General features: G+C 40.1%; 1 protein-coding gene across 11 annotated transcripts in view; it reads right to left on the bottom strand.

Annotated features, from left to right (window-relative positions):
- Nucleotides 1-16,988, bottom strand: part of CTNNA2 (catenin alpha 2) — a 1,463,404-nt gene that overhangs the window by 785,922 nt on the left and 660,494 nt on the right. For all 11 annotated transcript variants that reach the window (NM_001399737.1, XM_024452714.2, XM_011532556.3 and 8 more), the window contains one exon: nt 4,680-4,846. In NM_001399737.1, the coding sequence (NP_001386666.1) occupies nt 4,680-4,846 (167 nt within the window). The remainder of the gene's footprint in view (nt 1-4,679; nt 4,847-16,988) is intronic.

Genomic DNA, 16,988 nt, shown 5'->3' with positions numbered 1-16,988 from the left:
TTATTTATGAAAGAAAGCATCATAATTATATTTTCCATCTGGGTGAGACTACAGCAATATGCACCCTTTCCTAACATGCATTGCACTCTATGCTAATGTCCTAATGTCTCCCCAGTAGCCTGTAAGGTTTTGAAGGCAGGAGCCTAGTCTTATTCACCCTTAAAATAATACATCTTGGCACAGTGTTTTGCATATGGTCAGCACCTAATAAATAGTTCTTAAGTGTATAACTGAATAAATAAATAAATCATGAACAATGCAGCTGCATGAAGGTAATACTGTGATAGCTATGACAGAAAAGATATGCTAAAAACCTGGGCCATATTTTCTGCAGTTATAATGAGAGGCAAGGCTATTTTATGATACCAATTGACTACTGTTATTCAAACACAAGAGCCACATTAGAACTTCAGGACTAAAAAGTAGACTTGAGAAATAATACACTACTGAGGCTGCATGAGGCTGTTTGATGCAAAACTCACAAAGTCACAGTTAATGTTAAGATCATCATGTCTCATCAATGCCCCCCACCCCCACATTAGAACAGCAGCACTATATTTGGCCCTTGGTAGCCACTAAGGAAACTTGACTTCTGGAGAAGCTGACTAAGGGTTGCTATTTTGTATCTTGCTATTCCATTTTCTAGAGAGAAATTATCAAATAATCAAGAACATTATTATCCCAGGATCTAGCCTGAGGATAGAAAGGTGATTGTTTCCTCTGACATACACATCTACATGAGTTTATGTGTCCTGCTATCGCTCATGCTAATAATTGACAATATAATCTGATTACACTAGTTCAGAGCCTAGGGAATATAAATGTCCCTCTTCATGATCACTGATTGACATGCAGGATTCCTTTAAAATTCCGGATGCCACATATCAACTTAACACACTGACAATGTGAACTGATTGCAGGATATTCCAGGTATCTGGCTAGGAAATCATTTGTCAGCAACTTCAACAATAAAATTGATTATAATTCAGTATTTTTAAATGGTGTCTGAAATGTAAATGATTACTTTAGCTTTACTCAGGAACATTAAATTCTCACTTGGGTGCTAACTGGGCACTAGAACTCTAAGTCACCCACTGTTCTATCTCTATCCTCCTGAATTTAAAGTAACAGCAGCAGCAAAAACCTTTTGCAGTCATGTGAATCTTTAATATATACTCAAAGAGAACTCAATATTAAAGTACCACAAATACTTGCATGATAGAACAAGTAGCATAACTTGAGCAACTAAGATACCTATGTGTTATCTGAGAAGAACTTCTCAGTTGCCATATAAATTTAAGTTCCTAAACATAATTATCAAGTAGCAAAATGCAAAGACCTGCACACTGCCAAACCACACGACCTCAGCAGGGCTCCTAATCCTTTACTCATTTTTAGAGGCTGAACGACATTTGCCTGTGATTACTCAAGTGACTATTCTTCATCAACCTGGCGAACTGCTGATGAAAAAACATGAATATAAGTTGCTGCGGAAAAAGGTAATTCTCTCTTTGTTCCTCTGAGTTACTCAGAGATGAGAAAAATTAACATCTGGAAAGAACACAAATAAAATTTTGACATATGGCCTGAAAGATAAAAAGTAGAATACTATGTGTAACACTTAAAGGTAAAAGAGATATGTAGCAGTTAACACAGCAGGAGGCTGTAGTCTCACTACAGGGTATTACTCAATCTGAACCCAACTAGAAAACCAGAGTCACTACTTTACTCTTCTTAGAAAGCAACTGTCACTCTTTTCTTTCTCATCTATGTTTTATCATCCAGGTGGTAAAGAAACTCATTGTTTATTTAAAAAAATCCTTGAGAAAGGTGTAAATATTTTCTAACTTGCTTCATCAAAATATGTAAAGCTATTTGACATGTTCTTCATCCTGAGTTACAGAAAAACAAATAAATAGAAGCTTGCAGACAATACGTTACTTTATCCGTCCTGAGAAGATATGCTTCTGCGCAAAAGAACTGATATACTCCCTACTACTGAGTAGAACTATGTGCTATGTTTGTTTGCAATGAATTATTGACGTATTGTCTTTTAGGGGGTAGGGGCAATAGTTCATGAGAGAAAACACCAGATGGCACCAGAAACTGTAGTTCCTCACTTGCTCCACAAGATAGCAACATTCCACCACAGCTGTTTGCTACAGACACTGCACTCTAAGTAGAACAAATGTGTTATTTAGTCTACAATCATTTTTAATTTTACTACTGACAGTCTGACAGGACTACTTAATATTGCCAGGTTGACCTTTCCATGATTTTGTGCTAAATCGTTAAAAAAAAAAAAAAAAAAACTTCCCTTACTCGGCTGTGTGGAGAAGAGATTGCAATTGACTCCCCATTACAGCAGGCTTCTGTGATCTGATGAGCCAACAGCACTGGTCAAAACAGGTGGGATGAGAGGCAGGACTGCAGGAGGCAACTGGTACCACACATGGCGTCATCGCCCTGGATTTATCACACTTCTCGAGTGTGGAGTGTAGGCAGTTCAGCAAGGATATTCAGCCCATCATCACTCCCTGACAGTTGCTGACAGGGCCTTCCACAACACAGCAAACAATGACATATGAGATGTAAGGTTAATTTTGTTAGGTTCAGTCGTATTATTTCCTTGCTGGGGTAAAGGAAGATTGTCCTTCTGTGGAAAGACTTATCTAAAAATATCGCCTTCGGAGACTAACTAGGCTGTAAGGGAAAGATAACACAACCTTTCTTCCAACATGCTTGAGAAGGAAGTTTTGTGTAACTGAAAAGATGGATATAACAGAGACAGACTGGAGGAATGGCAGCCAGTGTGGCAGCCTACAAGTGGTTCCAGTGATCTTACACTCCCTATTCAGCTGCCACTGACAGGACACTCACTTTGTGCCATTCTCTGGGATAAGTGCTCCACAGGAATCGTCCCCATTCAAACCTCCCCACCACCCTGAGGGCTCCACTGCCATTAGCCCCACTTTAACAGATGAGATATCTGAGATTTATCTGGTAGGTTACCAGACAGATGGCAAGTAGATACCAAACCAAGATGAAACCCAGTTACTCTGACTCCAGCAGCTAAATGGTTAATTATAGTACTGTACTGCCCTTCACCAGCCTCTGAAACAGGTAAAGACTCTCCTCAAATTGCTCAGCTTATCCAATTTCAAGAGCCTTTCCTGGCCTTTCAGAACCCATTCCCTGAAACATTCCTAAGGAGGAGAGGAAAAAATAAAAATAAAAATAAAAAAAACTTCCAAGCAGTTTCTTGGTGTCCCCTGCTGCTCAGGGACCTGTATAGAAGCCCTAAACAGATACACTACCTTTATGTTTATGACCTCGGAGCTCAGGCTGCAGGTGTTGGAATTTGAGGCCTTTCATATTTTTCCAGAATTTATACATAATTTGGAAATCTTGGCTACTTTATTGGGGCCACCTTCGGTAAAAGATCCTGCCCAAGGTTTTTTGACAGAGAATAGTTATGATTTAAGTAATTTCTTGATGATTCCTCCTACTGAACAAATCTGAGCTCAATGGTGAGGTGAGAGCACGCTCTTGTTATTCATTTCCTATCTCCCCTGGTCCCTCCTCATAACCTGCTTTCACTGATAAAGAAAATAAGACAGGAAGATTGGCTGATAGGAAACATGATAATCCAGGAATGCCCAGGACAGCAGGGGTAACCAAGCGAGCAATTGGTTGGTTCTCCAAAAAGGAAAATGTGGTTTGCATCTCATCATCTAAGTACCCTGCGATCAGTCCAGAGTTGGTGCCAATTGTTCAGGAATCATATTTCACTGAGGGTATGGAGTAGGGATTCTCTAAGCAGAGGCCATATTCCCAAGCAGCTAAGTTACATCATCTTTGTTAAAGTGTTGAACCATCCTTGTTGCAACTAGATACCAATCAGCAAGTAGAAAAATGGAAGAACGACCCGTAGTCAAGGACTGGGGAGGTAGCCTTAATCACTATTCCATTAAAGTTTGTGATGAGAACAGGGCTTCACCTCTATTAGGAAACAAAAGAATTAAAAGAAACCATGAAAAGCAAGGCACATAGAATGGTGTTCTATGGGTTAGTGGGACAAGTATGTGCCCACCCAGAGAACCAATCCAGGTATGTTAGATGCCAGGCTTGGTGAAACAAGATTGACTTTAGCCACGGGAATTGTGGATGGGGCCCCTTTTTATTGCCAATATATGATTCAAAATCCATATATCTACAGGAGAGCAAGGCTAGAGTAGATAGCAAAATATATTCAACATGTAATCCACACTAAGGTGGGCACAGGTGGTCAGCTGCTCAGCAGAGCTGACCCCAACCTGAACTATCACATGGACCAAGATTGCTCCGAATCTTGAGATAGAACAAAGGCAGGTCCACCCTGTCCAGGCTCTGTAGACTAAAAGAATGTACTGTTACACATTCCAGGAAGTAAGGAGAAATCTAAACTCTCAGTTTTTAGGAAAAAAAATAATAATTCAAGTGAGTCTTACAAAACTCTTTGACTATATTATTGAATATAATTTTATTATTAGAAAAAATTGGACGTGGGCACCACATGGGTAGGTAATGAACTGATCTGGTGAGCAATGAAACATCTAGAGTAGAGGCCAGAGCTGTAATACACACGGTCAAGATTGCCACTCACATAAAGAAAGTTTTGATAAGTTCTACATACGTACAATTTTCAGATGGGATAAAAGTCTCATGACATCTGCCATGTCCGCCAGGATGAGTAAGCGTGTCACCGCGGAGAGCAAAGCCCTTGCCGCCCGTACCATGGTGCCGCGCTTTACCGACGAGCAAGGGTCATCTGCAAACTCGGAGGAGGCGATCCGCATCGTCTCACCTGGAAGACAGACACGGAGAGGCAGGTGGGTAGACAAGAGGCTTAGAGACTGGCCATCCTAAAGATCTGTGAATGGACAATTACTGTTTTTATTGCAAAACTCTGATGACCAGGTGGTATTTCTGCCACCTCTATTGCAGCAAAGAGCCCTTTAAGTCAAGTACATCAGTGCACATGGACAAGTGCTGTGGACCAAACAAGGTGCTCATTTCACACTGAAGTATGAAGTCATGCTTTTCACATCAATAAGGAGTATATTTAATTCCATTTGTCTAATAGTTGAGATGGATTTGCCTTGAGCTTAATCATCCTCTCTCTGCATTTGCCTTGGAACCAATGATACCAGGCAACTTACCATGCAACTCATTGAAGTTACTGACAGTCGAGGTACAAATTGTTCCACATGGAATTGAAAGTTAAGACCTTGGCCTCATTAACACTGTACTCCTAATTGAGCTAATCAGACAAGAACACATCATAGAGGCACCCAAGATCCAATCTTCTAATCCTCTTAGTAACCAATTTGCCAATATAGAAAACATTTAGAAGAGAACTAAACCAATTAAACAAATGTTTACTAAACACACACTTGTGTCAGATTCTGTACTAGGCTCTGCCATTACAAAGTTGACTAAGAATACCCAGGCACAAGGAGTTCAAAGTCTCATGAGTAAACAGGTATGTCAACACATAATCAGAATACAGTAATTAAGTGCCATAAGAGACAAGATTAAGAAAGTAGGCAACACAGAGGGGAGAGGTATTTGCTCATTTATTGTGAGACTGGGGGGAAGCTGTCCATTTTAATGGGATGCAAAAAAGAAAGAGGTGTTCACCAGGAAAACAAAGGTGGGGAGGGGATCTCAGGCAGCATGAACACTTCGTGGGCTCTGAAGCCTGGAGCCCCATGCTGAGTACAGAGACCTGCAGTTCTCTGGAAGAACCCATGAGGAAGGGGGCTGGAGAGAGGCAGTAATGCCTAGAACACCATGTAAGAGGTTTGGATTTTACCCTCAGCAGGGTGGGAAGTTACAATAATAGATTTTTATTTTTGGAAGATTATTTTAGTCATATTACATAAAATAAACTGGAGGGGAAAAAGACCAGGACAGAGAAGTCAGTTAATAGGGTAAATGCAGTTTTAGTCTGAGAGAGCAGTGGTGAGAGCCTGGACCAAGGAGATGGGAGAGGGAGTATAAAATGCATCTGTGTGACACAACCAACCGATCTAAGGGCTGACTAGATGTGAAGACCAGACAAAAGGTTCAAGCTGACGATGAGGGCTGACACGATACAAGAGTCAGGTATATATTTGCATCAAGGGACCCAGGAATGGGAAACAAAGAGATAATTAACAAGGATTGAGACTGATAACCAAATCAGTGGGTGGATATCCACTTTGGGGAGTGAAAACTGTGAGAAACCATAAATGGAGCTTCATATAGCAGAGTGTACACAGGGGTATAAAAGCTTCAATAAACTTGAAGAGTACAGTTAATATGACAGATTTTTTAACTCAAGATCAAACAATTTATTCAATTTTTGTAGTAATGATTACTACTCACCTACTAAGCAAAATCTAGCTCATTTAAATGAAGCCAATGATAGCATGGAAAGTCTGTGCATCCTGTAATTAGTCCTAGTCATAAGAAAAAATAAAAAACACCTCTTACCATTTTATAGGCCGATCAGAATATAAAGTAATTCTCTCAGCTAGTGTGGTAGTTATTTAAACCCTCACAGTGATACTTTTTATACTCGGGAATGTGGGTGTGTAAGGAAATATATTGCACTGTTGGATTTTTAAAAGAGGCTACCATCTACAATAAGCATTTTATATTGCTAACCAGCTTAGCCTTTTTGCCTAGGCACACACAAATAGCTTGATATATAACAACAGCATGGGAGAAACTTAAAAATTCACTACTCTAGTGGCACAATGATGAATTTTCAAGATGTATGGTCCTAGAGCTCAATCCAAGTGTCCTACCCTTGCCACAGGGTTACATACATCTCCTCCTCTTGCCTCTCCTCCTCACAAATAAAAAAAGTCATTGGCAAATATCTGTGTGGTGGGAGAAAGAAAGCCACCTTTTCCCTACTTTATACAGTGCAAGTAGAAAGAACATTATACACCAAGGTAAATCCAACAAACTATTGACAAAAGTGCCACAAGTAGAGCTAGACAAATTTGTGTAAGATATTAATAGGTAAGTCAGCTACTGTTGAAATAGATCCACTTATTCAAGGGAAAGGGGGATTTATTCTGCACACGAACCCAGGTAGCTACATGGTTGATCCCAGTTCCTGCAGGTGAAATCGGTATGAGCCCTAGCATGGTTAAAAGTAGGTCACTCAGGTAGGGCTATTGGCAGAACAGAGATCCCCAGGAGGAGAGGGCAGTCACACCCCTTCCCTGCAGGTGGAGCTTGTGCACTACTTGAAGAACCATGCCTAATCCAATATATTTTCAAGTTGAGATTGAACATTCGGAATGAACCAACATCATTCCAGAAGACAGGTCTTGCCAGAACGAGGGGCTCTGGAGGGCCTAGAACGACTCCTTCCATCTGTCTTAGCGGCACCATCGGGCATCTGGCAGAAGTGTACTGGCATTTCATGCAGATGCCAACCATCTGGTCAGCACTACTGCTTCAAAGCCGATGGGTGACACGTGTCAGTGCAGAGATCTTAGGTGGAGCTAATCAACCTGGGGCCCACGGCAGGCACCCCAAGAGTGGCTCAGCAGATGTCCGTGAGAGGGAGACAGGGAAGAGACAGACAGAGAGAGAGAGAAAGAAAGAGAAAGACAGAGAGAGAGAGAGACCCACATTAGAAAATGCCATCTGCCTTTCTGGATGGAAAACTCACACTAAATTCTGAGATTATTCTAAGATAAATAGAAGATGATTTCATTCAAAGCAAATTAAACTAAAAGCTCATTTTAAGCAGATACAAGTGATTTCATGTTGATAAGGATTCCAAAGGAAAGGCAACCTCAAATCAGCTATAATTTTAATAGGTCTTAGTCCCTGCAGCTTTAAGATTACTGAAGCAAACTGATAAGCAAGTTTATCAGGATAAAATTAGCTACTTTCCCAGGAATGTAGAGAAAAGTGCTTTTTCTATAAGATTGAAATATTTCGCTAAGAAATAGTATGCATGTGTAAGAGGGAAATGGGGCAGTGAAGAGAGGGTACAAGAGATCTGCCTGCTTCTTTTATATACATTCTTGTTCAATCTCATGTACTTGATTATAGACCTAACTCAGAGCAACATTTCCACGGTAAAGCCTTTGATGTCCTCTAGCCACTACAACCTGCTGAAAAGAAGAAAAATTAACATTACCAAATAAGGGACCAACGGAAAATAACAATTTTAACATGTATGTAGTGCTTCTATATAAAGGCTTATTATATAAGTATTGTTCTAAAAGCTTTACATGTATTAACTCATGGATGAAAAAGGATAAACAAAGTCACATTGACCTGGGTTCAGATCTCGACTCCACCCCAACTATTACCAAATATGTGAGCTAGTGCTTATTCAACCTTTGTATTTCAGTCCAGTCAACTGTAAAATGACAGGGAAAATAATGACAGCTGCCTCACAGACTGCCATGAGAGTTAAAATTAGAGACGATGCATTCAAAGCACCCAACATGGGGCCTTACCCATAACGGGTGATCATTATTCATTAATACCACTACTATCACAACCACTTCAAGCATCCAAAATGCAGTAAGAAGAGTTGGTGATCTCCTGGTTACAGGTTTAAAAGTGTATATTTTGGTTGGTTTCACTTCTTGTGTTTCTTCCTTAGAAGCAAGACAACATATGCTCAATAAAAGTACTTATTGTTTGAAGATAGAATATATATAAAAAAAAAATGGTGCTCTGCTTTTAAATCAGTGCTTATTCTGGTTCCTAGGCTACCCTGAAAGCACTGGGATGAATACATAATTGTGCATCAGCTTGAGGTAAGATCAATTCAAATGTGGAATGATGCATGCCAGTAATAATAAACACAAGAAAAGGATGGCATGGGCTGGGCGCGGTGGCTCACACCTGTAATCCCAGCACTTTGGAAGGCAAAGGCGGGTGGATCACCTGAGGTCGGGAGTTCAAGACCAGCCTGACCAACATGGAGAAATCCCATCTCTTCTAAAAATGCAAAATTAGCCAGGCATGGTGGCACATGCCTGTAATCCCAGCTACTCAGGAGGCTGAGGCAGGAGAATCACTTGAACCCGGGAGGTGAATGTTGCGGTGAGCCAAGATCACGCCATTGCCCTCCAACATGGGCAACAAGAGTGAAATTCCATCTCAAAAAAAAAAAAAAAGAAAAATAATAAAAGGAAAAAAGAAAAGTATGGCATGTGGAAGGCAGAGTTTTAGGAACAAAAACATCAGGTAGGAATCAGGTCATGAACCAAAATGGCACAAATATCCTGTGGCTCTTTCCTTGAAGGAGGGGCCTGCGTGTAAGGTCAGCACTCTAAATGCTTGACAACTGAACTGCTGAAAAACTGTGAGAAGCAAGGAAAAATGTGTGGTGAAAAGCAAGATTCAAAGAGTGCTGGGTGAAGAAAATGAAAACCTCAGAATTGTTGATGATCTTAGAGGCTGAAGAGGATTTAACTCGTCTTTTTCATCCAGCCTGGTCAACCTAGTGAGACCCTATCTCTACAAAAAAAATTTAAAAATCAAATTGCCAGGGTAGTCCCTGCTACTCTAGAGGCTGAGGCAGGAGGATGGCTTAAGCCCAGGAGTTTGAGGCTGCAGTGAACTATCATTGCACCACTCCAGCTTGTATGACTGAGTGAGACCTGTCTCAAAAAAACAAAACAAGGTGCAGTGGCTCACACCTGTAATCCCAGCACTTTGGGAGGCTGAGGTGGGTGGATCACTTGAGGTCAGGAGTTCAAGACTAGCCTGGCCAACATGGTGAAACTGTGTCTCTACTAAAAATACAAAAAATTAGCCAGGCGTGCTGGCAGGTGCCTGTAGTCCCAGCTACTAGGGAGGCTGAGGCAGGAGAATTGCTTGAACCCAGGAAGCAGAGGTTGCAGTGAGCCGAGATTTCACCATTGCATCCAGCCCGGGAAACGAGGGTTAAACTGCGGCTGTGCGCGGTGGCTCACGCCTGTAATCCCAACACTTTGGGAGGCTGAGGCGGTTGGATCACAAGGTCAAGAGATCGAGACCATTCTGGCCAATATGGTGAAATCCTGTCTCTACTAAAAATACAAAAATTAGCTAGGCGTGGTGGTGTGCACCTGTAGTCCCAGCTACTTGGGAGGCTGAGGCAGGAGAATCACTTGAACCCGGAAGGCGGAGGTTGCAGTGAGCAGAGATTGTGCCACTGTACTCCAGCCTGGTGACGGAGTGAGACTTCGTCTCAAAAAAGTGAAGCTCCGTCTCAAAACAAAACAAACAAAAAAACTTTTCTTTTCACTCTTTCAGCAATGGCAAGTATTGGACTTACTCCCTGGAATCAAATGATGAAAACTGGAACTAGTGTGAGAATGAAAATGAAGAAAAAGGCAAACCACAGAGCAAATGTAATGAAACAGCCAGAATAAGAGCAGATTAAGACATGAAAAGCCACGTAGGGAAAGGAATTGCAATGTATTTCCTATACCTTCCATGGTAATTTACATTGTCAACATTTTTGCTATAAAATAAATATGTGCTCCTTAAGAGAACTAAAAAAATACAATTAAAAGAAGCCAAAAGAGCATTCACATCTTAATAACCAAGGACAACATCCGATGAGCTAGCTTCTAGACAGTTCTGTATGCATATGTTTTTAACCAGCAGTTTTCACACATAATAGCTACAACTGCATATCATCTTTTGTCTAAATGCGTAATTATCCTTTATCTAATTACATAAATTATCCAACATATACTGATAGTTCATGTTTTTTATATTTCTCCCTGTATTACAGAATTCTTAGAAAAGATGAGAGAAGGCCGGGTGTTGTGGCTCACACCTGTAATCCCAGCACTTCGAGAGGCTGAGGCGGGCAGATCATTTGAGGTCAGGAGTTTGACACCAGTCTGGCCAACAGGGTGAAACCCCATCTCTACTAAACAAAAATTAGCCAGTTGTGGTGGTGGGCACCTGTAATCCCAGCTACTCAGGAGGCTGAGACAGGAGTATCGCTTGAGTCTGGGAGGCGTAGGTTGCAGTAAGCAGAGATCATACCATTGCACTGCAGTCTAGGCGACAGAGTGAGATTCTGTCTCAAAAAAAAAAAAAAAAAAAAAAGGAAAAGAAAAAAATGAAAAAGAAAAAGAAAAAAAAGGATGAGAAAAAGGGCAAAAATTTCCAATCCTCTTAACCAGTTTGTTCCCTTTTCATGATAACCGACACCTGCCTAACAACCTTTTTCACATGTATTTTCCATGAAGTACAGATCTTAAAGGATTCTGAAAAACGGATCTTGTAGAGCAATGCAGAAACTAAAACATGTTTTTAGAGAGGAAAGCAACATTAGTGAGGGAAACTGACCACAGGTTCCCAAAGCCTTAGCCAGTTCTGCAACTCAAACTGTGCATCCCGATTGAGCTCACACACTTACAGAGACTGTGAAGGAAAATACATAACAGAATCTTAAAACGGTAATTCAGTCAACAATGTCCAACTTCAGAACATTTTATCATTTTGATTATTTTGTAGAGTCTGTAAGGCAATGTAATACTTGAAAACCACTTACAGGTCTGGTCAGCTCATTTTCAAAGCAAGGTGGGAAAATATCTTCATTTGAGACAAAACAAACTTAAATGTTAAATGAATGGCCAAGGTGGACAACACCACAGAAGTTACAAGGTCACCACAGAAGATCTTGATGCATTACATCATGCCTCTTGGCTCCTTTTCTTGGAAGAAATAAGTGAGTGGTTCTTTGATAAGAATCAGGCAGAGTTGGATAATGTGTTGAAAAGATGAGGTAAGCAGGTGTTGATGTGGCTGAGGGCCTCTGCTCTAACTACATTTGCAAACATAGGAATGTCTTCTTCTGGGATGGTTCCAGCAGCAAGGGGGTGGTGTAGCAGGGTGGTCCAAGATTCCTTCCACTTTAGGATCTCATTAGGCTGTATCTATCTGGACTTAATATTTTAGCATGTAACTCTTTCATCTATAATAATAATAGCTCTCTTTTTAAGAGCTCACAATGTGCCAAGTTCTGCTCAAAGAGCTTAACCTGTATCAACTCTTTTACTACTGAAGAGAATCTGATGAAGGAAGTGTTCTCATTGTCACCCTTTCTATCTGAGGAAACTGAACACAGAAAAGAAAGATTATTAAGGTTATTTGCCCAAGGTCAAACAGATGGTAAGTGGTGAAGTAGGCATTCAAAATCTGTCTGGCTCTGCGGTCTATCCTCTTAAAACCAGTGCTTTAGAAATATCTTTATTTTAACATCCTGTTTACTCTGTGAAAATTATTTGTTTACATATGTCTGTCTGCACCTGTATTAGGAGTTGAAGACTAGTAAATTATGTTATTCAGTTTACAGGGTATAGGAAGGAAGGAAGCAAGCAAGGGAGAAAGAAAGGAAGGAAGGGAGGGAGGGAGAGAGGGAGGGAGAGAAGGAGAAAGGGAGGGAGGGAGAAACAAACAGAGGGAGGGAGGCAGGGATGAAGGAAGAAAGGAAGGGAGAGAGGGAGGGAGGGAGGGATGAAGGAAGAAAGGAAGGGAGGGGGGAGGGAGGGAGGAAGGAGAAAAGGAGGGAAGGAGAAAGGGAGGGAGAGAGAAACAGAGGGAGAGAGATACAGAGGGAGCGAGGGAGGGATGAAGGAAGAAAGGAAGGGAGAGAGGGAAGGATGGAGGAAGGGAGGGTAGGAGGGAGGAAGGGAAGGAACAAGGACCTAAACAAAGACACTTCTCCAATTATTCCCAGCCTCCACCACTCCTTATTGTCACATGTTAGGGATGATTTGTGACTCCCTGTGCATGCATGCATTTGAGTTTTCCCTCCTTCCTTGACCTGTAAGCTTAATCAGTGAAGAAATCATAATTGTAGCACATTAATTTATTTAATCATACCTTACATCGGTTGACAAGGTATATTCCCTCAAGGAATGCTGTCGAGAGGAGGAAAGGAACGCCTGCCTGGCACTTTACATTTTGAACCATATTGAATTGATACTGAAGCAGGGAGAAAAGACAAATGAAATCCCAGATGCTATACACTCTACAATAAAATAATTGAAATACTTTCTTCTTTTTCATGTTTGAACTTTTAGTTGGATTTCTAAGTTCAGGAAGTAGCAAGGAAACCAAAACATTTGCTAAAGGAAAGTTCTAGTGAAAGGAGCAACTCCTTTGCTTCTCCTCTGTTTTGCCCACATAGGCCTTTGCTAGCAAGAAGGAAAAAGTCTTAACACTTTTTTGGAAACTATCAAGAATATGAGAGAGCTATACATGCATTTCACCCCAGGGTGGCTATGACTGAAATCTGTGATTGGGGAAAAGGTCAACAATCAACAATCAGAATTTTTCTCTAAGGCTCAGGGATGCTGAAGTCCTGTCTTTTCTCAAGCAGAATCTGCATTAAAATAAGCTACCTCCTGTGGACACTTTAAGCACCAAGCAGTTACAGCAGTGCTTGGTACTATTCAGGTCTTGTTATCAAAAAACAAGATAATATTTGGCTTAAATAAGCAGTATTCAGAAGAAAGCCTTATCTGCTTATTAAAAAAAAAAAAAACCCTATCATGCAAGCCATACCAAAACTATGTAAATATTATAAAATAAGAAGGCTGCCTGTCCCTTTGTCTTTCTACCAAGGGTAGTGGGCTCCATGGTCTCTTTATCATTCTTTAGGTTTTTCCAGAAACTCTCAGAAAACAATAAATTAGGTGCAAAATGACAGCAGTCTGATGGGGCCACTGCCTCTGAAGTGATGTTGAGACTGGTGAATTTCAGATCCGGATGAAAACTCCTCAGGCATCATTCAGCACCCCTTTCTCATCTCACACATGAAGACACAGAAGCCCAAGTGCCGTGGTCAGGTGGTTGGTGGGGGTCAGCATCCCTGTCTCCTGACATCCCAGTCAGGGACTCTGGTCTCAGTGCCATTGTTGCTGTGAGGCCAATAAATCCCAATGTGACACCAGCAAATCAAACTCTCCTCACCTAACAAAATCCCACTATAGCCACATGGTTCTGTGACAACCCTAATTCAGTGGCAAGAGCAGCTCCAAATGTGTCCTCATTTGGTCAGTGTTCTTTCCCAAGGTACATAATTAAGTCTTTTCCAATGTAATATTTGCCCTATCAAGATATGTTCAGTATGCAAAAGTACTAGAAATGTCAGTAACTAATGATTAAGTGTATTGAATGTTATGAGCTATTAAACATCGTTAGAGACAGTAATGCGCCACCTTGCAGAAGGCACAGATCATTAACCGTATGGATTTTAATTATTTCAGCTGTAGCCTTTTCCTGGGTTGGGAGAAGAGGGTGTAGGGTAATTTTACATTGTTGTAGCCAGAAAGATTATGAAGCCGCAATATGGCATACTTCACAAATGAGAACCTTGCAAAGACCTGTTAAATGTAGCAATAGCCACATTCCATAAAAAGGTGATTATTGTTTTGGCCTTGAATGCAAGAGAAGACCATAAATTAGGAAACGTTAAACAGTGATGATCTAAGCTTAAGAGAAAAATGGCATATAGAGGACCAATAGTGAACTCAATTTTGTTCAATATTTTTACACATAAAGGGAAGATACACTGATGGAATGTAAATTTCATTGTGCAACACATATATTTCTGAAATAAGGACACTATATCGTATATATACTAAAGAAAACCTATTGTAAGTTATCTTGTAAAGCATATAAGCAGCCAATAAATTAATTTTTCTATAAACCCCAAATTTCAATAAGTAAGTCAAGTCTCTCTATAAAAATCATGCTGCTGACTTATTTATATTCTTAAGTCAATAAATGTTTCTATTGATCAGTACCTGTATTCTCCTACAACCATGACACAAATCAAAACGCACTGAAATGTCAGTACCCTGCTACAGTACTTGGTAGTTGAAGTGTGACTTCAAAAACCTTCTAATGTTATTAGGAAAACAAGAATCAATGCCACAACTTCCATCTAGATTGGACAAGCAGAGATAACGCGAGCATCAAACATGCTAGCATCTAATTCTGAATCAAAGAGACGGCAGCATTCAGAATCAACATCTTGACATGGATATGTAAAGGACATCTTGATTTCCTCATGCTCCTTAAGATACTGTACAAGGAAATGCAGAGTACAGAGGATGGATTTAATGTCCAAATTCCAGACTTTAACAATACCTTGGAGGGCATCATGCAGATGAAATTTTAACAGATGCAAAATCCAGGTGTGACCTCTAGGACAAAAAACGCTTTGTCTTTCTAGGAAACCACTCCAATTTGTTCTAGCTTTTTTTTTTTTTTTTTTTTTTTTTTTTTTGAGACAGAGTCTCACTCTGTCACCCAGGCTGGAGTGCAGTGGCATGATCTCAGCTCATTACAACCTTCACCTCCCAGGTTCAAGCAATTCTCCTGCCTCAGCCCCCTGAGTAGCTGGGATTATAGGCACATGCCACCACACCCAGCTAATTTTTGTACTTTTAGTAGAGACAGGGTTTCACCACATAGATCAAGCTGGTCTCGAACTCCTGACCTTGTGATCCACTCGCCTCAGCCTCCCAAAGTGCTGGGATTACAGGCGTGAGCCACCACACCCTGCCTGTGATAGCTTCAATTGTTAACATTTTTTTCTTCTATTTGGTCTTTGATACGCTCTTCTGAACCACACATAAAAATATAATCTTCTCTTCTATAGGGTAGATCTTGGGAAGTTTGTTTAAATGTCCTTTAAGAAGGGAAATGTCAAGATGAATGCTCATTAGCCATTGCCTGAGAACTAATGCTGAGGTTGCATTATAAAAAGAACAACTGACATTAAAAAATGAGCAAACAACTCTCTCCAGGTTTCCAAATATTAAATATCTACTAATCATTCAAGTCAAGATGATTTGTTTGTTCCCACACTACTTTTTAAGCCAATTAACATGTACATATAAAAAGATATTTCTAATCTGCTTTGGAAGAAATAGATCTGGTTTCTAGCTTGTTATAAAAACAATTAAAACAGTCACAAGTTACTCTGAGCTATTTCAGTATCTAAATTACTACATATATTTGAAAGACATTAACTGTGAGCTCATTGGTGGAACTCAATGTCTGAATTTCAGAAAATAACTATCAAAATCTTTAATGGCTTTCTCAAGCTCAAATAATCAACTAAGGGCACAGTCCAGACCAGAAGCTGGGTCTCTCAACTCTGATATTTGTATTTGCTGCAGTTCCATATACTTTGGAGGAAATATTCTGTTTCTGATACAGTTTCACAAATTCACAACTTACTGTCCCCAAGTTAGTCCATATAGTTGAAGCCTTTGTATATCAGTTTGGATGTCTTGATACTCCACTTATGTGTATGTATTTGTAAGTCATTACGGCATCTCCAAATTTTCATTAGTAAAACTGAATAATACTTGAATAATACTCGCATCACTGATTTCATATCAACTAAAATACAATCGGAGAGAAAAGCAAATGAGAAGTATAAAAAAGGCACATTTTATAATTTGCATCTTATAGACTACAGCTAAATAAACCAGGCTTGAAATTGCTACACAGTAAAATAAGAAGTCAATCTAGCTTTTTCTAAAGGAGTCTTTGGCTAAACAAAGCACAGGAACAATTCTCAGAATGAGAAAAGTTGATTAAAGATAGAAAATTCTACCACATATTTCAAAACTAGAAAAAATGTTCCAAGTAATTGGTATCATGAACATGGTAAATGATGCTATAAAATTACAGCTCAATTAAGTTATATTTTAAAATGCAACGTGGGGAAAACTGATTTTCCTCACTGGCTTGTGGGTGAAAAGACTAGAATGATCAGGTTTTAGGATTTAAATGGCATAGCCTTTAATTTCTGACCTACCACTGATTTTCCATTCTTCACAGAGAAATGGTCGTTTCTTAAATGCGATTATAGCCACAAGGCCTCTTTACTAAACTGTGGGAGGTCCCCACGTCACCACCATTCTATTTCCTATATTAAGAGGATT

The sequence above is a fragment of the Homo sapiens genome, chromosome 2 (genome assembly GCF_000001405.40).
Source record: "Homo sapiens chromosome 2, GRCh38.p14 Primary Assembly".
NCBI lineage: Eukaryota > Metazoa > Chordata > Mammalia > Primates > Hominidae > Homo > Homo sapiens.
Note: the sequence above shows the minus strand (reverse complement) of the source record. Positions and strands in the feature narration are given on the sequence as shown.